Source organism: Homo sapiens, chromosome 10 (assembly GCF_000001405.40).
Source record: "Homo sapiens chromosome 10, GRCh38.p14 Primary Assembly".
NCBI classification, from domain to species: Eukaryota; Metazoa; Chordata; class Mammalia; order Primates; family Hominidae; genus Homo; species Homo sapiens.
Window position 1 is genome coordinate 84,450,514 of NC_000010.11, and position 25,806 is coordinate 84,476,319.

The window sequence follows — 25,806 nt, forward strand, 5'->3', positions numbered from 1 at the left end:
CCCCCAAAATAGAAAACTCTGTTCTAGTAGATAAACAATACTATGCTCAAGACTCCAAGGCCAATAAATCATAGAGCTGGGACTTCAGTAGTAAATAAGGCAGCTATCACTGCATCAATAAAACATGAAATTATCAATAAATTTACTGAGAGACATTTGTGATGTTTTATTTTTAAAAACCTGAGAAACTTTGTAGAAACCATTTACGTTCTGTGGGAAGACCAAATATTATAAATGCTACAGATATTAAAGTAGTAATCAAGATAGCTAGCTTATAGTCTAGGGGAATATACATGTATTAAATTAAATAATTATGAGAATGATGTGTTGCAAAGGGTAACAAATTAGGTGTTATAAAAAGATTGTGTAAGATACAATCTGAGTGTATAATAAATTGTGTGTTGTATAAAGATTGTACAAAATACAATTTGAGTGTATGGTGTGTATCTACAGTTTTTCTCAGTACGATTTACAGATTTAATACAGTTTCAGCCAAAATCATAACAGCTTTGTTTTTGGAATTTATCAAAATGACTCCAAAATTGGAAACATCAAAGGATAAGATTTGTGTACATTGAAAAGGAGAAAGGGGAAAAAACCCTTTAGAGCAGGGTATAATACTGACACAAATAGACACAACACATAGAGCAATGAAAGAGAATAGGAAACATAGAAATATGTGCTGATGTATTTAGTAAAAAATAATTGGCTATAGAAAGGTTTTTTTTTTGGTTGGTTGGGTTTTTTTTTTTTGTTTTTTGTTTTTTTTTTTAAAGAACAGGGTCTTGCTGTGTTGCCTGTGCTGGAGTGCAGTGACTACTCACAGGTGTGATCATAAAGTACTGCAGCCTCAAACTTCTGGCTTCGAATGATCCTCCTGCTTTGGCCTCCCAAGTAGCTGGGACTACAGGCACGTGCCGTTGCGTCCACCTGCATATAGAAAGAGTTTATGCAAAAGTTACTGAGGAAAATTTATTAGTTTAGGAAAACTTAGTTTCTTATACTGTAGCAGAACACAGATGGCTTGAGGAGTTGGATATTTTTTAAAAACCAAAATCTAGAAAAATTAGTAGAAATTAGGAATATCTTTAAGTGCCAAAACAAACCTACAGGAAGGGATATCTGGGTTCAGATATGTACAGACGTAACAGATATGTAAATGTGTAGGTTCAATAAAAAATTTAAACAGAAAAAATTTGTAAATACTATTTGCTTAGAATATTATAAAGGTTCTATTTATATATAACAACATTCCAGTTAACTTGGATGCCAGATAGATATGTTTTTTATTTCAAAGTGTCTTTGCCCTGACCATCTGTGAGGATCACTTCACCTCTAAAGCGCTTATTAAAATCAGATTTTATAAGTCAGTGTTTTTAAAATCCTCTCAAATGTAGCTTGAATTAGTAGATTTTAAATCCCACTGTTGAATTTTACAGTATTACTCAAAAATTATTTGTAGTGCACATTCTGGACTGTGTGATGTGATGTGATTGTTCATCTATATACCTTTGTATTTAAAAAAGAAAAAAAACTTACAAAAAGAAAAGAAAGAAAATGTCTCTGTCCTCTTCCTCTGCTCCCTTTCCTAGGATGCCTCTTGTCATTGTGTTGTAGCATATCTGAAACACAAGGCAGCTTTGTTGACATCACTGATGATGCTTGTTAGTAGGGATTTGTCAGTGCTGCTAAACGTTTTTGTTAGTCATTTCAAGTATCCATGTCCATTGCAGCTGCTCTGGAACTCACAGGAAGATCTCAGTTTTTGCAAACTCATGGAAGAATCACCTGGGTAAGATGGAGTTTGTTACAGGGTTTTCAGCAAGTTAACATGTGGAAGAATTATAGTATTAGAACAAAAGTTTGCCATTGTGATGTGTCAAAAAAGAAGAGTGGAAGATGGTTTGCTGACAATAGTCCTCTAATGCTTTGAGAATAGAGGAAGGTTTATCCATCTTTAATAAAATGCTGATAATGTATTAGCATCCTAATTGCATTCAGAGTTCAGAAATTCTAACTAGAAACTGTAGAGACTGCTAAAACATTTCACCTAGTAAAGCAGTCCAGAATTCCTAGACAGTTGGTTAACTGTGAATTACTTATTTTTTGTTCAGTTGCTATGGATTTTTTGTACTATTTTTGCTCCTGTGCATTTATTAAATATGTTTATGCAAAACACTTGGAACAGTACCCAGCACTGGTCAATAAATGTTAGCTCTTTAGTATGTATAATGTGAAACATGAAAATTGAATGCATGAAGTTATTTCTTCAGTATTTTTTAGAAAGAGTATGTTTTCTATTTTATGATCCCCGCCGCCCCCCTCCCCCCACCAAATGTTTCCTAATTTTGGCCTGGGCACTTTCCTTTTAGTCAAGGATTAATAGAGAGTACTAACCATTGGTTAGTGTCAGAGTTATTAGGAGGGTGGTTATTATTTGATTCAGTTGTTGTTATATTCCTAATCTTTAAGGCTCTTGTGCTTTAATGGAAATAATAGCTTTTTTATCTTTTTGATCTCCTAAAATCTGGACTGCTAGACTGTTTAATAAAAAGGAGCAGAATTTTTTGAAGCATATTAATAACTTAAACACTAGTAACTCCTAGTTGTCTTGGGCTGTCCCATGCATTTATTTTATTTCATTTTTTTTTTCAGTTTTCAAAAATAATGACTTGGTATATGGGGCTTTCACTTAATTTATTTCTAATTTCTAATTTTTAAATTGATCAGAACAATATATTTCTATGATATAAGTTCTTTGGAAGGTGTTAATGTTTTCTTTGTGGGCTAGAACAGAGTTTGGAAAACTTTTCTTTAGAAGATCACGTAGTAAATATTTTAGCCATTTTGGGCAAGACACAAAATTGAGGCTATTATGTAGATAAAACATTTCAAATGCGACCATTTAAAAATGTGAAAGCTTTCTTAACTGTAGTAAAAAGAGGCAGCTGGCCAGATTTGTCCTGTGAACCGTAGTTTGTTAATCTCTCGCCAACAGCGTGGTCAGTTTTTATGATGGCTCTGTTCGTTTGAATGGAATATATATTTTCTGTATCTTAGGTAGCAGTATGTCTATTATATCAGGCTTGTTAATTGTACTATTTATATCTTGCTTATCCTTACTAAATTTTTGCCTTTGATGTGTGAATTTCTGAGAGTAGTGTTAATCTCCTGCTATAATTACAGATGTCTCAGTTTCTCCTTTTAATGCTGTCCATTTTTGTTGTAGTATTTTCAGGCTATTGTATCAGGTATATACATGTTTATGATTGGTACATCTTCTTGGCAGATTGGTCCTCTGATTACTAATTAGAATTCTTTGTTTATCTTTATTAATACTTTCCTTCTTTAATGGTACCCTGCTTCTCGTGTTACAATAATATTGCTATTTCAGCTTTTTGTGGGTGTGATTGTTGAGATTTATCTGGTGTTTCTCTCTCCTTTTTACTTGCTTTTAGCTGTTTTTTGATCAAATCTTATCTTAGTTTTTTAGAGCTGCCATAACAGATTACCACACCTTGGAGGCTTACATCAATAGAAGTTTATTCTGTCATAGTTCTGGAGGCTAGAAATCCAAAACCAAGGCGTTGTCATCAGGGCTTTTCTCTGTCTGAAGGCTCTGTAAGAGAAACTTGCGTTTCTTCTACCTTCTAATGGTTACCAGCAATCCTTGGGATTCCTTGATTTGTAGATGCATCTCTCCAGTCTCTACTTCCATCTTCACATGACCTTCTCCCTTGTGTGTCTGTGGGTCCAAATTTCTCCCTTCTTATAAGGATATCCGCTATATTGGATTTATGACCCACCCTAATCCCGTGTGAACTCAACTTGATTACATCGTAAAGGCCTATTTTCAAGTAATGTCATATTCACAGGTTCTGGATGGACATGAATTTCTAGGGGGTACATCATTCAAGCTAGTGCAGTTCTATTGAGATGCAATATACACAGTAAAATTCAGCCTTTTGGTGTGCAGTTTTTTTTAAGTGTTTAATAAGCATATTTTATTTAAATAAATCCTCTCATAGGAAATGAAGAATTCATTGCTTTTACTTAGAAGAAGGCTGTTAAATAGATGTCAAATTTATATATGCAGCTCACCAGTATTTCCTTATTGGCAACATCTGTATTTCCACAATACACTTCCCAAAAGGACTTCTAAGTCTCAAAATTCTGTCTCCTTTGATGTGCTTCTCTCTTGATTACACCCAGGCTCTATTAATGGTTTGGTTCATATCATTATCTCCTTCTTCATATATTTTCTTTAGAATATTCATCAATCCCTCACTAGCATCTGTTTCAGTATCATAGGAGGGTTTCTCTTTTTCTTTGCACTTGATTTGGTTTGGCTATGTCCCAACCCAAATCTCTTCTTGAATTGTAGCTCCCATAATCCCTACGTGTTGTGGGATGGACCTGGTGAGAGGTAATTGAATCATGGGGGAAAGGGTTTTTCCCATGCTGTTCTCATGATAGTGAATAAGTCTCATGAGATCTGATGGTTTTATGAGGGGCAGTTCCCCTGCACATGCTCTCTTGACTGCCACCATGTAAGACATGCCTATGCTTCTCCTTCGGCCATGATTATGAGGCTTCCCAGCCACATGCAGATGTGAGTCCATTAAACCTCTTTTTCTTTATAAATTACCCAGTCTCAGGTGTCTTTATTAGCAGTGTAAGAACAGCAGTCTTTTTCAACCTGAGCCAGGTAATCCCTCCCACCTTGTGTTTTCCACTTTCTTTCTTTTTTTCTTTTTCTTTTTCTTTTTCTTTTTTTTTTTTTTGAGAAAGAGTCTTTGTCGCCCAGATTGGGGTGCAGTGGCGCAATCTCGGCTCACTGCAACTTCCACCTCCAGGGTTCAAGTGATTCTCCTGCCTCAGCCTCCCTAGTAGCTGGGATTATAGGTGCCTGCCACCATATGTGGCTAATTTTTGTACTTTTAGTAGAGACGAGCTTTTGCCATGTTGGCCAGGCTGGTCTCAAACTCCTGACCTCAGGTGATCTGCCTGCCTCAGCCTCCCAAAGTGCTGGGATTACAGGCGTGAGCTACTGCGCCCAGCCTTTTCCACTTTCTTTCTGCATAAAATAAGAACTGTATCAGTCTTGACCTTTTTTGAACTGCCTTCCACAGAAATGAGTTTCAGGAGATTGTTCACAGTCATGGAGTAACTCCTCCCACTTAGATTCTTTACCAAAAGATCAAATGACCTCTCTGTAAAATGCACCTGCACATTCTCAGAGGGAACTTGATGAACTCCAGTTAAGGTAATGTAGATTTTCACAGACTTATCTGACTGATCCCATCCATAATTACTGGTTTTCACTGTATATCCCATTGTAACGGGAGCAACCACAGCATCTGGCTTTTCATTATCAAGAAGTTCTGCTTTCTTCTATGATTTCTGTTGCATCTTGTTCTGGATTTCTGTCTCAATTTTGGATTTTTTCACCTGTAAGGGCATCACGTACTCCTTTCCTAGTAGCCTTCTCCAGCAACACCTTTGCTTCTTCTAGATGTTTCTGTAGCTCTTCCAAAGCCTAGATCGGGCTGGGTCAGGCCAAAGACCCGAGCTGCAGCCACACAGGGGAGAGAACAGGAAACGCCATGCAGAGCCCTCAAATCAAACACAGACCCCCACCTGCATGAATTCAGTGTACAGTTTTATGAGCTTTAATTGACAATTGTGCAGCTATTACAATCCCCTCCCAGAATTCCTTTTCTTTTAAAGTCAATTTCTACACCCACTGCTAGCTCCTGGCAACCACTGATATGAAAAGATTATCATATAAATGGATATGATATAGCCTTTTGAGTATAATATATAGCCTTTGAGTCTGGCTTTTTTTACTTAACATAATGCAACTTGAAATATTCATTTATGCTGTACCGTGTATTAGGAATTCGTTTCTGTATATTGCAGAGTTAGTGTTCTATTTTAATGCTACCAGTTTGCTTATTCATTTACCAGCTGAAGGGTATTTATGTTGCTTTCTACTTTTTTTGCAGTTACAAATAAAACTGCTGTGAACATTTGTTTACAGATTTTCATGTGAGCATGTGTTTTTATTTCTCTCGGGTAAATACTTGGGAGTAGGATTGCTGGGTTGTATGGTAAGTGTAAACTTAACTTTTTAAGAAACTACCAAACTGTTTTCCTTGGTGACTATATCATTTTGTATTGCCACTAGCAATGTAAGAATGTAACTATTGTTCTGCATTCTTGCTGGCACTTGGTATTATCAGTGTATTATAAAAGCCACTGAATAGGTGTTTAGTGGTATCTCATTGTTGATTTAATTTGCATTTGTGTAAAGATTAATGATATTGAGCATATTTTCATATGACTGTTTGCCATTTATATGTCTTTTTTGGTGAAGTGTCTTTTTTGCCTATTAACACAAATGTCTTTTCTTACTGATTTTTGAGAGTTCTTTATATATTTTAGATATAGCTCCTTTATTAGGTATGTAAGTGATGAAACAAATGGATATTTTTAAAAATGGGACTAGCTTTTTGGGCAACTATGTACAATTGTGAGGTAATAACCCTGCACCTTCACATTCTCATTATTTTCTTACTATTGTTTTAAAATTAGCTGACACTTTAAAAAGGCTTTCTATGAGTTACGCATTATGCTCGGTATTTACTTGAATGATTGCAGATATTTTCTTCCAGTCCATGTCTTCTTTTATATATATATTACATATTATATATAAATATATTATATATTATATATTATATAAAATATATTATATATAATATATTATATATTATATATTATATATAATATGTTATATATAATATATTATATATAATATATTATATATTATATATAATATATATATTTATTTTAAATATATATTTTAAATATATATTTATTTAAATATATATTTTAAAAAATATATTTAAAATTATATTTATATATAAATACATATTATAAAATATATAATATATATATAAAAGACATGGACTGGAAGAAAGTATCTGCAATCATATATATTTATATATAATATATGTATAATTATATATAATGTATATTATTATATATAAATTTATATTTATATATTATATATAATTATATATTTATATATTATATATAATTATATATTTATATATTATATATAATTATATATAATTATATTATTTTTAATTTTAGTTATTATATAAATTATATATATTTATATATAATTATATTATATATAAATATATAAAATTTTGTTTGTTTGTTTTTGTTTTTGTTTTTGGAGACAGAGTCTTGCTCTGTTGCCCAGGCTAGAGTGCAGTGGTGTGATCTAGGCTCACTGCAACTTCCACTTCCCTGGTTCAAGTGATTCTCCTGTCTCAGCCTCTGGAGTAGCTGGGATTACAGGCGAATGCCACCACGCCCAGCTAATTTTTTGTATTTTTTTCCGTAGAGATGGGGTTTTACCATGTTGGCCAGGCTGGTCTCAGAACTCCTGACCTCAGGTGATCCGCCTGCTTCGGCCTCCCAAAAGGCTGGGATTACAGGTGTGAGAGCAAAAGTTCTGCTCTTGAAGTAAAATTTATCATTTTTTTGCCACCATTTTTTCCATAGATCATGTTTTGGTCTAAGAAATCTTTGCTCAACCCAAGATTGCAAAGATTTTCTATGTTTAAGTGGATAAGTTTTATAGTTTTAAGTTTGAAACTTAGGTGTATAATCTGTTTGAAGAGTTTTTGTATGTGGTATGAGTTATGGGCCAAGATTATTTTTATCACGTGTATGTTCAGTTGTTCTAGCACCATTGGTTGGAAAGAATATTGTTTCTGTAGTGTTTTGCCTTTGTAATTTTGTCAGAAATGCCTTTGACCATAAATGTGTGGGTCTGTTTCTGGACTCTTTTCTTTCCATTGATGTATGTTTATCTTTTTGCTATTATCACTTTCTCTTGATTACTGGAGCTTTATAGTAAGTCTTTAAGTAGTGTGACTCTTCCAACTTTCTCTTTTCAGAATTGTTTGACTATTTTAGTTCTTTTGCCTTTTCATGTAAATTTTAGAAGCAGCGTTTCTATTTCTACAAAAAATAAATTCTGCTGGGATTTTGATAGGGAGAATACTGAATCTCCAGTTGAGTTTGGAAGAGAATTGATATCTCAACAATATTTAATCTTTCCATTCATGAACAGAGGATATCTCCATTTATTTAGTTCTCTCTGATTTCTTTCACATATACACACACATATATTCCTTCACATATACACATATATACATACACATATATGTATATACATATATGTGAAAGAAATCAACCTATATATTTAATATACAGAGTCTGTGTTTTGTTGGATTTGTACCTAAGTATTTCTCTTTTGTTATTTTGGATTTTTTTCCCTTGTCTTTTGGATTTTGCTTTATCATAAATGGTAGTTTTTTTTAAATTCAATTTTCAGTTGTTTGCCATACACAGTTGATTTTTGTATATTGACCTTGTATCCTGTGATTTTGCTAAATTCATGTACTAGTTCTAGTAGTTTTTGTTTTTGTCTTTGAGACGTTCTCGCTGTGTTGCCCAGACTGGAATGCAGTGGCACGATCTCAGCTCACTGCAACCCCTGCTTCCTGGATTCAAGCGATTCTCCTGCGTCAGCCTCCTGAGTAGCTGGAATTACAGGCATGTGCCACCACGCTTGGTTAATTTTTGTATTTTTAGTAGAGATGGAGTTTTGCCATGATGGCCAGGGTGTTCTTGAATTCCTGACCTCATGTGGTCTGCCTGCCTCAGCCTCCCAAATTTCTAGTACTTTTATTATAGATACTTAAGGGACTTTCTACACCATACATTCTGTGTCTAAATGAGGTTATTTTATTTTTTTCTTTCCTATTCGTTCGCCTTTTATTTCTTTTTCTTGCCTTATTGCACTGGATAGAAACTCCACTATGATATTGAATAGGAGTGCCTTGTTCCTGGTCTTGGGGTAGAATATTCCATGTTTCACCATTAAATATGATGTTACTGGTAGGATGTTTTGTTTTGTTTTGGTTTGGTTTTGGGGGGGAATCAGAGACAGGATCTCCTTCTGTTACCCAGGCTGGAGTGCAGTGGCACAGTCATGACTGACCACAGCCTTGACTTCCCAGGCTCAGGTGATTCTCCCACCTCATTCTCCCAATTAGCTGGGACTACAGGTGCATCCCACCACACCTGGCTAATTTTTTATAGTTTTGGTAGAGACAGAGTTTTAGCATGCTGCCCAGAATGGTCTTGAACTCTTGGGCTCAAGCGACCTGCCCCTCTTGGCCACCCAAAGTACTGGGGTTACAGGCATGAGCCACCATGCCTGGTGGGTTTTTTGGATGAACTTTATCAGGTTGAGCAAGTTCTTTTATTCCTAGCTTTCTGAGTTTTTTTTAAATCCTGATTGGATATTGAATTTTGCCAGGAAATTTATCTGTGTAGTCTATTGAGATAATTGTGCAGACCTTTTATTTCTCAATTTGGTGAATTACATTGCTTTCTGACTATTGAACCAGCTTTGCATTGGTGGGATCAACCTCAGTTGCTCATGGTGTATTTCCCTTTTTACATATTGTTGGTTTTGATTCTTCGATTTTTTTTTTTTTTTTTTTTGAGACAGAGTCTCACTCTGTTGCCCAGGCTGGAGTGCGGGGGTGCAGTCTTGGTTCACTGCAACCTCTGCCTCCCAGGTTCAAGCAATTCTCCTGCCTTGGCCTCCTGAGTAGCTGGGACTATGGGCATGCGCCACCATGCCCGGCTGATTTTTTTTTTTTTTTTTTCATATTTTTAGTAGAAATGGGGTTTCGCCATGTTGGCCAGGCTCATCTCAAACTCCTGACCTCAGGTGATCCCCCCCGTCTTGGCCTCCCAAAGTGCTGGGATTACATGTGTGAGATTTTTTAAAAGACTTCTGCATCCTTATACATGAAGAATATTGATCTGTAGTCTTCTTATACTGTCTTTGTTTTAGTATCAGGGAAGTGCAATTAATGGCCTCATTAATTGATTTTATTAATTTAATTTGATTTTTCTCTAAGTGGTTGTATAGAATTGATGTTATTCTCTTAAATTTTGGAACAATTTGCCAGTAAAACATCTGGCCTCAGATTTTTTTTTTTTTAGTGAGAGGCTTTAAACCATGAATTCATTTTTATTAGTAGTCATATGTTTACACAGCTTATCTATTTCATCTTAGGTGAGTTTCAAGAGTTTGTTGCTTTTGAGGAATTTTGCCACTTCACATAAGTTGTCAAATTTGTGTGTGTAGAGTCATTCATATTATTATTGCTTTATTTACTCTTAGCATTTGAGATGTCTGTAATGATATTTCTGCTTTCATTCCTGATAATGTTTTGATTTGTGCTTTCTTTTTTGCATTTTGGCAGTTTTGCTAGATGTCTAGCAATTTTCAAAGAAAGTGTTTTTAGTTTCATTGATTTGTTTGTGTTTTTTAATTTTCAGTTTCATTAATTTCTGCTCTTGATTATTTTCTTCTTTCTGCTTGTTGTACATTTATTTTGCTCCAGTTATTGATTTGACACCTTTGTTTTAATAAAAGTATTTCATTCTATAATTTTCCCTTATCACTCTGCTTTAGTTGCATTCCACAAATTTTGGTATGTGGTGTCTGTTATTTTCCTTCAATTCACAATATTTTCTTGTTTTTCTTGAGACTTCTTCTTTGACCCAAGGATGATTTAGAAGGTTGTCTACTTTTCAAGTGTATGGAGATTATCTTTCTGTTATTAGTTTCTAGTTAAATTCTCTTATATTCAGAGAGCATATGTTTGGTGTATTTTTAGTTCTTTTAAATTTGGTTTCTCAAATCTGTAGGTTTGTGTCTTTCACCAAATTCGGGGTGTGTTTATCCATTATTTCTTGAAATATTTTTTCTGCCCACCCCTATCCTTCTGTGACTTCAATGACAGGAGTGTTAGCTCTTTTATTACTGTCCGCATATGTTCCTGAGCAGGCTCTGTCAATTTTTTTTGACCAATCTTGTTGCTCTTCATCATTCAGATTGGATAATTTTTGTTGATCACTCTTTAAGTTTATTGTATAATCTGAAATGCTAGTATTTAGCCCATCAATAGTGCATTTTAAAATTTTGGTTTTTGACTCTTTTCAGGTCTAAAATCTCCATTTGTTTCTACTTTTTATATTCTGTTTTTTTTTTTTCCCCCTGAGATTTTCTCTTTGTAGTCCCTTCAAGAGTTTATTCTTTTGGAGAATTTTAATAACAGCTCTGTTAAAATCTCTTCCAGTTCTACCTTCTGTGTCATTTTGGTGTTGGTGTTTTTTGATTGTCTTTTCCTTTGTGAGTTGACATTTTCTCCTCTGTTTAGATGTTGAGTAATTTTGGATTATATATTAGATATTTGAACGTTGTATAATGAGATTCCTGATCTTCTTTAAATCTTTATTTTATTTTGTTTTTAAACAGGCAAACAATGTGGTTGAGTTTAGGCTACAAGGTACAGCTAGCTGTCTTGATTGTGGTTTTAATGCCAGCTCTGTTTTCAAAGCTTTTGCCATGCTTTCCAGATCTGTTCTGAGTATACATCTTCCAGAGGCTAGTCTGGGACCTGGGAAGTGATCTTAGGTTATTTTTCAAAGTCTTTGCTATGCTGTTTAGGATCAGATCCAAGCAAGTGCTGCTCAGGGATGAACCGATGAATTTACAACAGCTTTATGGAGCTACTTTACTCAGTTCCTGGTATTTTGTGACCTCTGGTATTTTCTGTTTTGCTGGACTTCTCTTTTTTCCTCTATCCTTAATGCTGTTGTTTTATTTTTTCTATTCTGCTGTACACTTCCCACAAGTGCACCTGCATTTAATGCAAAGCAGTATGTGCTTGTGTTGTCTCATATTCCTTGGGGTTCCTGCATTGCAGTTGGGAAGAAGACATTTAGATATTTGGAAATAATTCAAATTTTACAGTCTGTCTCTCTTCTCAAATATACTTGTAGGTAGGACTGGCGATGCTTTTATATGTCTAGGCAGTAATAACGGAGATGAACTTTTTACTGAGATGAGTCCTGTAAAACTCACTTTACTTTCTTTATTTCTTAATTTTTAAAAATGTGTTCCGAGAATATTGCTATTCATTAGAATGTTGCCTATGTTCTTAGATCAAAGTCTTAATGTCCATTTGACACCACCATAGAAAAGTAATTTATCTATGCTGGAAATTTGGCAAACACTTACTCTCTTGACTGTCAATCAGCATTACCTTTTGAACTGCCCTAAATACACATTTAGAAATTCTGGGCCCCATCCCTAGAGATTCTGTGTCAGTGGGTATACAGTACAATAAATTAAGAAGAAAATAACCTGCATGCTCACCTCCCCTATTGTAGACATTATCCATGGTATGGGAGAACCAGAAAAGATATATCTGAGGAAGATTGCAATGTTATGTTCCTTGAAGGTTGCTGGTTCAGTCACTGGGTTTACTGAGGCAGCCAGGAATCATGAACAAATAAGGTGTTGAACCTCAGTTGTGCTGCCTTAGTCAGGGGCTCAGTCCTGATCAAGGTAGCACGTCATCCAGTTATATTCTTCACTGGTTCATTTTTCTTGAGGCTGTCTTTCTGAACCATTGAGCATGTGGTTTCTTAGTACTAAACCAGTTCAGCAAAGGGTGGAACTTAGTATTGTCATCCTATTTTATTTATAATGTTTTGGAACAAAAATCTTTATTTCAGCCTTTTTTGAGGCATGAGATACATCCAGTAAAGTGGTTAAGGTGTACCAATCTTAAGTGTACAGCTCAAGCTTTTCATATGTATGTTTAACTACCGTACACTCAGGACATAGAACATTTCCAGCTTCCTACTAGGTTCCCTAATGTTCCTTCTTAGTCAGTAACCCCCTTCCCTTTAGTCTACCATCATTCTTCTGATTTCTAACACCATAGATTAGTTTTGCCTTTTCTCAGACTTCATATAAATGGAGTTATGTGATATATATCCTCATGTAGCTAGTATTTTTAATTCAGTTATTTTTGCTGCTAAGCCTTACTGGGTTACTTAATATTATTGTTTATGGCTCCTTGGTACTCAAAACATGTCTAAACCAAAGCAGATTCAGTTGACCTTTGTTTTACACTTTTCCTAGGTGAAACAGTCTTAAAATTCTTTAGGAAATTTCTCATAATGCTTAATGGTTCTGTATTTCAGCCGCTTATATAGTATCCGTTATTTACTTCCACAGATTATTCTTGCCGTAGCTCCCTTTTTTCTTCTTCCACATTTCCTTCTAACAGTATATATAGGGGAAATGAAGATTTCTAAAATTTTGTCTCCCATTTGTTCTTCACCATGCTAGCATTTGGTCTTCACCATGCTAGCATTTGGTCTGGGTAAATTCAGGTTGAACTGAATGTCCACAATTACTATATTAATCTAGTGTTTTTCTTCCCTTCTTTCTGACAGCATGATGGAAGTGGTTCATTGCATGATATTCAACTGTCATTGCCATCCAGTCCAGAACCAGAAGATGGTGATAAAGTATATAAGGTATGACTATGTAGTCATGCTGGATTTTTCAAAATTCTTTTTAAATACTAAAATAATGATACAATGACAATGAAAACAATAATAAATGTATTAATACCTAAAGCATCAGGTTTGTTCTTAACTTTTGCTACTTTGTTAAGTTGAAATGATATCTCTGTGGTGCTTTAATTTGAATTTATCAGTTGGATAATGATCTGTCCTTGTATTACTACTGTTGCAGGATTTAAAAAGAAAATATATTGCTCATAATGATAAATGATAAGAGTTTTTAAAATATGAGTAGGAATGAAAGTTAAAATGGTTATAGGTGCTTCTCATATATAAATCCCAAAATTGAAGAAGTATACTGAAAATGAGATTAATTTCTTTTTTCATGTTTAAAAATACAGAATACAGATGTATTTTTGTGAGTGAAAGTGTTTTTTTATAATTCTTATTTATGTCTATTTTTAGTTGAAGAAAACTCTTTTATTTTGCAACTATTTAAGCACATATTTATTTCTTAAGCACACACAGAGATTCTTGGTTAATTTAATGTTTCCAAGTCAAGTTATAGTTAGCTTTTACATCCCATTTTCAGGGTACACTTATTAGTGTTTGCTAGTCATCTACAGTAACAACCTGAAAGCAATGGTGGCTTATAATAATGAAATTTATATTTCACTTACATATTGGCTGTAGATCAGCTGGGACTCTGCTTCATGTGTCTTCCTCATTCTGGGATCCATACTGAGACGGATCAGCCCCTATTGTGGGACATGTTATTGTGCCAGTGGGAAGAGAACTTTGATAGGATCACATGTGAATTCTGCTTGGATGTGGCACATATCACTTTCAAAACAATTCAAGGGGCCAGGCCTGGAATTAATAGGGCAGAAAAGCATTATTTGCTCGTAGGTTGCAGAGTGATTTATTGGGAAGAAGATTGTATATAAAGCAATCAAAATCATAAGAGTATAGTACAGTAGTCAATCTCATTCTCTCATCTTGGCTTTTCAACTTGTTGACTACCTGTCCTTGCCCAGATTGCTTCCCAACCCTGAGCTTTCATCCTACTCTCAGTATAATACATTAAGTCAGCAGGTTCACAGCAGGCCATCTCTTAACACTCAGTTGAGAACCATTGACTTAGGTAATCTCTGATGACCTCCCAGTTTAGAAAAAAAAAAATTGTGAATTTGTGACTGACATTTTAAAAGCAAAGTTGACCTCTTTCCTGAATTTGTGTGTGTGTGTGTGTGTGTGTGTGTGTGTGTGTGTGTGTGTGTGTGTGTGAAAAAGTTTTTTACATGTAAAGATTTTTTTTTTTTTTTTTTTTTTTTTTTTTAGACGGAGCCTTGCTCTGTCACCCAGGCTGGAATGTAGTGGCGCAATCTCGGCTCACTGCAGCCTCGGCCTCCTGGGTTCAAGCGATTCTGCTGCCTTGATTTCCCAAGTAGCTGGAATTACAGGCATCTGCCACCATGCTCGGCTAATTTTTTATATTTTTAGTAGAGATGGGGTTTCACCATGTTGTCCAGGCTGGTCTCGAACTCCTGACCTCAGGTAATCCACCCACCTCGGCCTCCCAAAGTGTTGGGATTGCAGGCATGAGCCATCGCACCCGGACAAGAAATTATGTTTTAAAGAAAAAAAATTAATTCCAACATTTTTACACAATTGGTATCTTTACTCTTTTCCAGTGTTCCTTTCTAGTTCATCTAAATATTTAATGCTATATGATAGACATTTTTTGCTTTTTTTTTCTTTTTTGAGATGGAGTCTTGCTCTGTTGCCTAGGCTGGAGTGCAGTGGCATGATCTTGGCTCACTGCAAGCTCAGCCTCCTGGGTTCACGCCATTCTTCTGCCTCAGCCTCCCGAGTAGCTGGGACTACAGGTGCCCACCACCGCGCCCAGCTAATTTTTTGTATTTTTAGTAGAGACGGGGTTTCACCGTGGTCTCAATCTCCTGACCTTGTGATCCGCCCGCTTCGGCGTCCCAAAGTGCTAGGATTACAGGCGTGAGCCACTGTGCCCGGCCATATGATAGACATTTTGTTACACAGTATTTATTTCTTGTCCCTGCTCCATTTCCTTCCAGGCAGATTATTCCTAGTCTTTCTTATTTAAGCTGAGTTGCAATAGGTCATACTTGTCTTTTCTTCAGTATTCTGGTCTCTTTTGCATTTTAATCAGCAAATCCCCAACTGTGTCACCTTTCATCCAAAATGGTTTAGCAGTGCAGTTTCAAATGACACAAATACTGCATCTCGTGCCATTAAAATTGTAGGATCTAAAGTCTCCATTGGACCTACCATGCCTCTAATCTATCCTTTTATTTAATCTCAGGACAGATCCCTCTCCCATTCCCTTAATGATCTCTTCCAAATAGCTCTCTCCAAGTTCCATGCTTAGCTATACTTCTCAACCTCTGCAGGTAGCCTTATGTTTGTTCATCCAGTAAATATCTTATGCTTCCTGCCTTCTTGCTTTCTTTTTTTTGTTTTTTTGGTTTTTTTTTTTTTTGAGACAAAGTCTCGCTCTGTTGCCCAGGCTGGAGTGCAGTGGCACAATCTCGGCTCGCTGCAAGCTCCACTTCCTGGGTTCATGCCATTCTCCTGCCTCAGCCTCCCGAGTGGCTGGGACTACAGGCGCCCGCCGCCACGCCTGGCTAATTTTTTTTTTTTTTTGTATTTTTAGTAGGGACGGGGTTTCACCGTGTTAGCCAGGATTTTCTTGATCTCCTGACCTCGTGATCCGTCCGCCTCGGCCTCCCAAAGTGCTGGGATTACAGGCGTAAGCCACCGCGCCCGGCCTCCTTCTTGCCTTCTAATTTATCTATATTTGTCTCATTCTTACTCCTTTGTTCCAGTTACAGGGGAAAAGTGTCCACTGTGCTATGGAAGATCAGCTCTTCTGTGTTCTTAACTCTTGTCTTCTGCTGTTGCTTAAGGACCTAACTGCATCTCTTCCTCCTCTCTCATCTGTCTTGAGTGCGCCTCCTCTACTTTCTTGTCATTATTTGTTTGTAAATGTGTATATCTCATTTAATTTCAGTAAATCAAATACACTTTTTCTTGACTCCTTTTAAACTCCTTTCCAGTTAGTGTGAAAACTTGGAACAATGAAAATAGCTACCATTTCAATGCTGTAGACGTTTGACATGACCTTTGTTTTAAAAGCTTTCTCCTTTGGCTTTTGTGTCACTTCTCTCTGGAATCCCTCATACCTTTCAACATTTTTTCCTGTAGGTTTCTCCTCTTCTTTAAATGTTAGATTTATATCTTTAGTCCAGTCCTCTTTGAACATCTTACTCTCATAATTTCAAATATGACATATATGGCTAACATGTAAAACTCCTTTCTTTCATGCTTGGTAATCCAGTTGCCCACTGGACACACTTCTATTGTATGTCCCACCCATAAGTACTTCTAACACAGACTCTCTCTCTCTCACCCCCCACATATGTGTGTGTATGTGTGTGTGTGTGTGTATTTGTATGTGAGATGTCTTAAACATTTTATTTATTTAATGAAAAAACTGATAACTGTTGAGCTCAGAAACCAATACCCCAACATACAGTACTTTGACATACTGAACTGAAGAAACCTCAAGATCTCTTCTGGCTCCATCATGTCCCCACCTCCCCCCTACTGCCCACCCACCTGTGTAACAATATATTTAAAATTCACACATATTCCTCTTTGGACATACTTGTTGTTCTTCTGTATTCACCATTTCTTTTGTTGGCGCAGCTATTCACCATGTCACTCAAGCTAGAAATACAGTGTCACCCTTGAATGCTCCTCTGTTCTTTTCTCACATGCAGTGAATTGCCAAAAATCTCAAAATTTTGATTTCTTCTCTCCCTTTTCATCTATATTATCACTCTCTTGGGTCAGGCTCCTACTCTTATCTAGATTATTATAATATTTTCATAAGTGCCTAGCTCAGTTTTCTTGCTGTTGTTAAAATTTGTCCTCTAAACACCTGTCAAAGCCATCTCAAATGCAAATCTGTCACTCCCTAGCTAAGGCCATGCGTGATAGTCATGGCTCTCTGTGATCTGGCCCTTGCATAGTTTACTAGCCAATTGCTTCTCAACATTAATCAGAACCTATGTGCAACAGCGACACTGCTTATACTTCTCCAGACGTGCTATGCTTTCCCTCACCTTTGTATTATATTGTATGGCACTTAGAATCCTTTAACTAAAATTCCAAGCCTACCACACTCCTCTATCTTCTGAATCTTGTGCTTATCCTTTGGAACTCCACTGTAGTCCCTCATTTCTGATGTGTGATGTCACTTCTTTGCCTATCTTTATATATAAAATCAGTGTTCCCAATGCAAAGAGATGATAAATGTTTGAGATGATGGAAATGCTAATTGCCCTGATCTAATCACTATAAATTATATGTGTCAAAACATTACTGTGTAAACCATGAATATGTACAATGTTATCTGTCAATTAAAAGTAAAATTAAAACAATGAAATGGTTTTGGTGGGGGAAAAAAATCCTTAGAGCAGTGCCTGCCATACAGCAAGTGCTATATACATGCTGGCTATTAATGTTCTTAGCACATTATTTGTTGATTTCATTTTTGGGTCCATTTCCTGTGTAACACAGTCCGAACCTACTGGTGACTGCATGAATGATGGCTATATAGTGTTCCATGAAGTTGCTACATTTTATTCCCGTTGTCCTCTTACAGGACAATTGTAAACTTGTTAACTTTCAGATAACACCTTGTTATAGGTTTTCTCTTTCTAAGGATCATTTCTTTCATATAGATTCCTAGGAGTAGGATAACTGAATCAGAGTGCAGGTATTTTGATGGCTCTTAAACATACAGATGTATATTTGTCCAAAAAGGTTAACTGCTATGTCTGATGGTGTGCCATTTTTTCCTGCAGTCTGGTTAATTACATTGGGTATTTCACCACTAACTTAATATTTATAAAACAATACTTTATTCAACAAGTTAAATACAACATTTTACCAGTTATATGTATATTTGTGAGAACTGGCTACTTGTCTGTTGAGGCCTTAAAAATGATCTTAAATGTTTAGACAGGCTGTTAATATACTTGAGATATAAATCCTCTGTCATATTTGCATGGATTATCAATAGCTTTTAACTAATGTTAATTGTTAAGGTGCCTTAAAATGTTATATAATTAAATATAAATCATTTCTTTTGAATAGCTATATTTGCTACATAACTTAGAAATGTGTCCTTCTAAATGTATTCTTAGAAATGTATCTTTCATGATCTGCAATCCATCTTTTTTGTCTTTATGAATTTTTATAATTCCTAAACTTAAAAACAAGTGGAGATTATCTTTTGTATGTAATAAAGTCTTTTTCAATTATAGTGTACATAATAGCATTTTAAAAATCTTCCACATTGTTTGGGATGCTTATGTGATATGTTCAAGGCTTTGTAAAATGTCTATTTCTGATCTCTTTGTTAAAGAGAATATATGTTTTTGTTCCCGATGTAGCTAAAGGGGATGACATTCTTTGCTTAGTTACAACACATCCTAATTATTTGCTTACTTGTTTTTCTCTCTGGAAAGATGTTATTCACATCTATATTTGAATTTCCTTGCTTATATTACCTTCTCTTTTGGATAACTGAATAATGAAACACAAACAACATGGGCTAACTATAGGGTAATGATTAACACTTTGGAAATGTAACTGGATTCCTGCTTAACTTGACAGTAGGTTTCCATTTAATAGTACTAGGCATTTCTTATAGATCCAATTGAGAAGGTGTTCTCTCTTTGATTCAGGAGGTACTCCTCAAAAAGTGGCTCATGGTCAAAGAATCTTCCTTGTTACCCTTCAGGCACATTTATCTTTTTTGCTGATTTGTAAACCAGCCATGAAATGCCTCTGTGCCTTTAATTATTCTATTGCCTCTGCTTCTCATGCCCTTTGTTTTCTTTCACAGGCTACTCTTATGTATCCCTTGAAGTCTAGCTGAAGTTGCTTTTTTGTATGTGATTTTTTTTTTTTTTTTTTTTTTTTACTCTGTGGCCTATGTCCCAGTTTTCTTATATGTAAAAAAGGATTACAGTACCTACCTCAGGAGTGTGGGTAGAATCAAATGCTTAAATAAGTGCAAGTGCTTAGTTTTTAACATCTAATAAGTTCTCAATGAATGCTAACTGTTGCTGCTACTATTGCTCATTGTCAACATGTCACACTTCATTACCGGATGAAATCTTAGATTTTTTTTTAATAGAGGATTTCCCCCCTAAATGACCAGATAGTTTGTTCATTACTGTGTCTTCATCATTGATTTCATGCCTCTCATTATGGTATTTTAAATACCTCATCTAAAGATTTTTTAATATTTCAGAATGAAGATTTATTAAATGAAATAAAACAACTTAAAGACGAAATAAAGAAAAAAGATGAAAAGATCCAACTATTAGAACTTCAGCTTGTAAGTATTGTAGTATAATGTATAGAGACTTTTCAAACTGGGTGAAATGTGTTTTTCATAAAACTCTGAGCCAGAAGTAGAGTTTAGCTTTATTTTTGGCTCTCAAAGTTGCACTTTTATATTATTTTTAGATTATATGCACTGTAATAAAAGTATGTGATTTAACTTTTAATCTAAATATTAAGTATTTGGTTTGGAAAATTCTTCATTGATTCAGCGACCTCAGTTTTGGGTATTTAAAATTTACCAATTTACATTCATTTTGTTGATACAAGGGTAAATGGCTTTTCTTCAGATATATTTAAAGAAACAAGTACTTGTGAGTTGAGAACAGGGTATTTTCTCTCTCTGTGAGCAGAATTAGCCTGGGTATTCAGATTTAGGTAGCTGCATCACTATCAGATTGAAGGGTACTCCAAGAAAATGTTTATTTCCTATGGATGCTATTGAATGATCCATCAGAGTCATGTTTGAATCTTCATAATCTAATAATTGTGCAATTTCACATATTAGTCTCATATGAAAACAATATGTATGGTGTCTTGAATTTAATTATTACTTAGTTTGTATATAAAAGACCATGATAAAAAGAAAATAATGGCCTAAAAATCACAACACTCAAAAGGAAATCTTTGTTGTGAGTCAAGAGCACATTTTGGTCTAACAAAGCAATTTGGTGAAATATTAATCTCACTGAAAATATAAAGGATATCATATACTGAGCTCTGAGCCACTGGGGTCAGCTCACGGAGATCCATTTCATGAATAAATAGAGCAGATAAATCAAATATTATGATTAAAGGAACAAAGAAAATTTATGAAACTGAATAAAAAGTAGCATAATATTACAAATTGAGGTCCTGTCACATACAAAATTAAAAAGGAAAATAATAAGGCCTAGTGTTTGTGTTCAAAGCCAAAGACAAGAACCCAATCAACTTTCAGGGAGAAGAAAAAAGACAACAAAGAAAATTATGTAAGCTTCGATTTTTACAAAAATATATTACAGAGCACAAGATATTGTGTCTTGTGCAATTCAGAAAAGAGGTTATGAACCTCCTATTTTATATCCAAGCAAGTTTTTATTTATATACAAAGGTAAATTCTGACCTTTAATGTCTTGACAGACCCAGTTAATACATTTCAGATATTTGAGAGGTAAATTGAAAAATAACTCAAGAATAAGGAGATAAAGATTAAAATGAATGAGCGGTGAAATGGAAACTAAGTGGTGTAAACTTCTGAGCCACTAGTTGGAGAAAACTTACTGCCCATTTTACCTAATGTAAATTACATATCATTCTAATGTTGGGATTTGTTTGGATTTATAAATCCTTAATTTTTCTGAAATTAAAAATTATTTTTAATTTTAAAATTTTAAGTTGCTATTAATTTTGGAAAATATTCAGATTAAATAAGTTTGAGGAAGAACATAAGGAATATGCTGAAGGAAGTTAGAAGTACTGAATTTTTTATCTTCTACAAATGAATATTCAACATTCTTAATTTTAAAAAATATACTTAGATAAATTATAATGTTTATGAAATGCTTTAAAGTAATTAGTAGGTTGGAATAAAGTATCTTGCAAAAGTTAAAAGTTAAAAAAAAGACGAAGTAGAAAAATAAGGAAAACTTAAAAACAGCATAAAACTAAAGTAATAGAAATTAGACCAAATATAACAAATATAATAGTAGTTGCAAATAGTCTTATGTCTTGGAGAGACTTTCCTTGAGGATCTAAAGCAAAATCCAGTAACTTGCTTTGTATAAAAAAAATTTAGCTAAAGGAAAATGGCACGATAAGGCTGAACATAAAAGATTGGGGGAGGCTGGGCATGGTAGCTCACTCCTGTAATCCGAGCACTTTGGGAGGCCTAGGTGGGTGGATTGCTTGAGGTCAGGAGTTCGAGACCAGCCTGGCCAACATGGTGAAACCCTGTCTCTACTAAAAATACAAAAAATTTAGCTGGTTGTGGTGGTTCACGCCTGTAGTCCCCAGCTACTTGGGATGCTGAGGCAGAACAATCACTTGAACCCAGGAGGCAGAGGTTGCAGTGAGCCAAGATCATGCCACTGCACTTCAGCCTGGGTGACAGAGTGAGACTCTGTCTTAAAAAATAAAATAGAAGACTGGGGGAGACAGAATAAAATTATTCTCATCAAAAATATTAGGATTGCAATAGTAAAATTAGAAAAGTAAATTTAAGACAAAGATTTATGTAAAAGGTCACTTTATATGGACATATGATAAATAATGAAAGATGAATCTTTTTATGCCGTGAAGTTTTGATAAAGTATTCTTTTAACCTCAGAATGTATCTTTAAAAAAATAAGAACAGGTCTCTTCATAGCTCAAATTATATTATTATCTCTAAGCAATTAATAGTAATTCCTTAACATCTTCTAATATCTAGTCCATACTAAGATTTTCTCAGTTGTTCCAAAAACATCCTGTACTTTGATGTCCCTAAACTAAAAGTCAGTCTAGGACTATGCACAACTGGTTATATCCCTTATATCTCTTTTAATTTAGAACTGTTCTTTTTTTTCTTTTTGTATTGATTTGTTGAAGAGACTGCACCAGTTGTCCTGAATAATATCTCATCTTGAAAATAATTTTTAGAAAGATTTAAGAAATATTGAAGAGCATCCTAAAGAAAGAAAAGTGAAAGCATTAATCTTTATCAGTAGGTACCTTGAAATTCTCTGTACTCGATATATTAAACCTAGTAATCATATTTGTCATAAAAGAGCCTGCCACCTGTTTTTCTAGGTGGTGTGCCTAGTTTTCCTGTGGATTGCTTGGGAAGCTGTGGTGTATTCAGCTAGAAATTCCCTCTGTAAACACATTAGAATCTCATTAGCATGTTTACAAATTGCAGAGGAGCTGTGGCCCCGTACCAGGAGAACTTCGTGATATTTTCTTTACAGTTCATGTAAAGGCTAATGTTAGTGTGGTTTTCTCAACATAAATTTAGAGGATTAGAAAAGATTCACTGCTTCTCATTGCAAGCAGTGATCTCTGTAAAGTGAATGCCTTAGTTTTAGGTGGCCAAGTATCCTTTTTATAGTAGAAAATTAGAAATCACTCAAAGATTTTAACAGTATAAGGTTTAGTTATAGAACTCGAGAAAGTCACTTGTTCAAACCAAGAGAGTTTTAACAGATACAAACCATTTGAAAACAAAGATAAGTAACAGTATTTTTCACATTATCAAATTAAAATCACCTATTAAAAAATTTTTTTTAACATCTCTATTCTTAATATAGGAAAAAAATCAGAAGAATCATAGACTAGGAATTAAAGGACTTGTTTCTAATTTAATTAGCTAAATGGCACTGACAGTTTCCATCACCTCTCTCTAGTGCTTTCTTTATCCAAAATGTGAAGGTTTTTCTAGGTGATTTCCAATTTCCCTTTCAGTTATAGCCTTCTATGCTTTTTTATCTTTTTAAAAAATATACATTCAACTCCAACCTATGTTTGCATGCAAACCTTCATAAAAATACGTTGACAGTATAAAGTGTTGAATTCAAAATATTCTGATTTAAAATCAGATTGCAGCGCTCTGAGAATTAACTGAAAGGCATAGAAGTTTAACTATTCAAACCTTACTAAAAAATGCTAAGAATGCCTGTTTATCTTTACTACAATACCATAGTTAAATAATAGTTCAGATACATTTCTCATTGACTCTTCAGAATAATCTTGGGAAATTGCTAGTGTAGAATTTCCTTTATGGGAGACACATTAGACAGTGGAACTCAGGTTAAGTGGGCTAGCAGTATAGTATATTTGAAAAACCAAGACAGACCTGAGTTCAGATCCTGACTTTGAAATTTATAGCCATGTTCTCTGAAGGGAGTTCTATAATCTCTCCTAAGCCCCTTCTGTTAGAGGATAATAAAAGTAGTACTGGGCTGGGCACGGTGGCTCATACCTATAATCCCAGCACTTTAGGAGGCCGAGGCAGGCAGATCACCTGAGGTCAGGAGTTCGAGACCAGCCTGGCCAACATGGTGAAACCCTGTCTCTACTAAAAATACAAAAATTAGCTGGGCATGGTGGCACATGCCTGTAGTCTCAGCTACTCAGGAGGCTGAGACAGGAGAATCACTTGAACCCGTGAGGCCGAGGTTGCAGTGAGCCAAGATCGCGTGCCACTGCACTCCAGCCTGGGCAACAGAGCAAGACTCCATCTCAAAAAAAAAAAAAAAAAAAAAAAAAGTAGTACTGACCATATAGGGTTATGATAGTTATGTTGTGATAGAACTACATAGTAAACTACTTAATGCCTGGTCCATGGATACATGATGAATAGCAACTCTTATATAAGCCCTAAATCACCCAGTGTAAATCAGTGCATATCTTATGATGTTTTAAGTTCCGAGTAAAAGTCCCTAACTAAAAGTGATTTTAAAAATAAAAACAGTTGTAAACTCAACAAGAAATTATGTAGGTCCCATCCATTTCAGTGGTTTCTTATTGGTCATTTGGCTGATTGATTAGGTTCCAGATCAGCTTTTTTGGAATCCTGTTGGCTGTCCATTCATGGTCACAAGATGTCTGTTGCTCTGTGTGTCACATTCTCACACAGTAATACCCAAGGATAGGTTAAGGGCCTATGATCTCCAGTGTCTGTTTTTAAAATCAACAAACCCTTTCTCAGATACCCTAGACTTTCCTGTTTGATTGGCTAGATTTGAGTTACTTGTCCCTTCCTAAGCATAGAGGAATGGGATTAATCACATTGGTTCAGACTAATTAAGTTCTAGCTCCTTGGGGTAAGAGATTAGGACACATTTCCCCAAATGTGGGACCAAATAGAAGGTGAGCATCTGTACAGTCTGTCAGCAATAAAGAAGGCAGATGGTGAGAAAATGATTTGGTTAGTCATTTTATATATGTTGACATGTCACTAGAAACTAGACTTTTCCAAATTTTGGAAAACTCATATATTTGCCAAATATTATTTTTCATGTGTGAGCATATAGACCACAGAAAATAAATCATAGACAGTCTGCTACTTAGGATTTTTTGATTATATGATGGTACAAAAGTGATACTCATTCAGTAAGCTCCTCAACTTATGACGGAATTATGTCCTGATAAACCCATTATAGGTTGAAAATAATCCCAAATCAAAAGTGTGTTTTTAGTAATATTATGAGTTTATCCAGGTGTGACCCCATTATAAATCAAAGAGCACCTGAATTTCTGGAATTGCAATAGGATGGAATAAGTAAAGTGTTTTCGTTACGATAGTGTTTTTAAATTATCTTTTCTGTTCCTCATATACCCCTCATATATGTTAAAAGTTGATCCTATTACAGTGAATTCCAAGAGACTGTAAATACTTGATTATATATTGAATTTGGGGGGTTATTTTGGAGTTAGAGTCTCACTCTGTCACCCAGGATGGAGTGCGGTGGTGCAATCTCAGCACACTGTGGCCTCAACCTCCCAAGCTCAGGTGATCCTCTCACTCAACCTCCCGGGTAGCTGGGACTACAGGCACATGCTACCATGCCTGGCTGTTTTTGTTGTGTGTTTTTTGTAGATACAGGGTTTTGCCTTGTTGCCCAGGCTGGTCTGGAACCCCTGGGCCCAAGCAATCCGCCAGCCACAGCCTCCCAAAGTACTGGGAGTACAGGTGTGAGCTACTGCACCCAGCCTATATTGAATTTTGTTTCAGTGACTGTCTCATTTGTTAGGAATGGGAAATATGTCTCTATGATAGACATTTTTGTTTTTAGATTTTATTTTGTATAAGGAAATTGTAATGATCTGATTGCAGTTAAGAAAAATTTTGAATATGGGTAAATATTATTAAAGTAGAAATGTATCATTTTAACCTGA

The 25,806-nt window shown here is 35.2% G+C and overlaps 1 protein-coding gene and 1 pseudogene across 16 annotated transcripts in view, besides 1 other annotated feature; one reads left to right on the forward strand and one right to left on the reverse strand.

Moving 5' to 3' along the window:
- Window positions 1-25,806, forward strand: part of CCSER2 (coiled-coil serine rich protein 2) — a 189,929-nt gene that overhangs the window by 121,925 nt on the left and 42,198 nt on the right. For 13 of the 16 annotated variants that reach the window (NM_001351290.2, XM_005269905.5, NM_001351292.2 and 10 more), the window contains 2 exons: window positions 13,420-13,503; window positions 19,859-19,945. The exons of 1 other annotated variant lie outside the window; for it this stretch is intronic. In NM_001351290.2, coding sequence (NP_001338219.1) covers window positions 13,420-13,503; window positions 19,859-19,945 — 171 coding nt within the window. Of the gene's footprint in view, window positions 1-13,419; window positions 13,504-19,858; window positions 19,946-22,518; window positions 25,370-25,806 lie in introns of those variants that run through there. 2 more of the 16 variants (XM_011539871.4, XM_047425366.1) reach the window with 2 other exon arrangements.
- Window positions 3,986-5,648, reverse strand: CACYBPP1 (calcyclin binding protein pseudogene 1; annotated as a pseudogene).
- Window positions 14,074-14,909: an enhancer, noted in NCBI's record as "OCT4-NANOG hESC enhancer chr10:86224343-86225178 (GRCh37/hg19 assembly coordinates)". NCBI's record gives its function as "activates a minimal SCP1, AML or CMV promoter by ChIP-STARR-seq in naive H9 embryonic stem cells {active_cell/tissue: H9 hESC(naive)}" and the evidence as "EXISTENCE:reporter gene assay evidence [ECO:0000049][PMID:30033119]".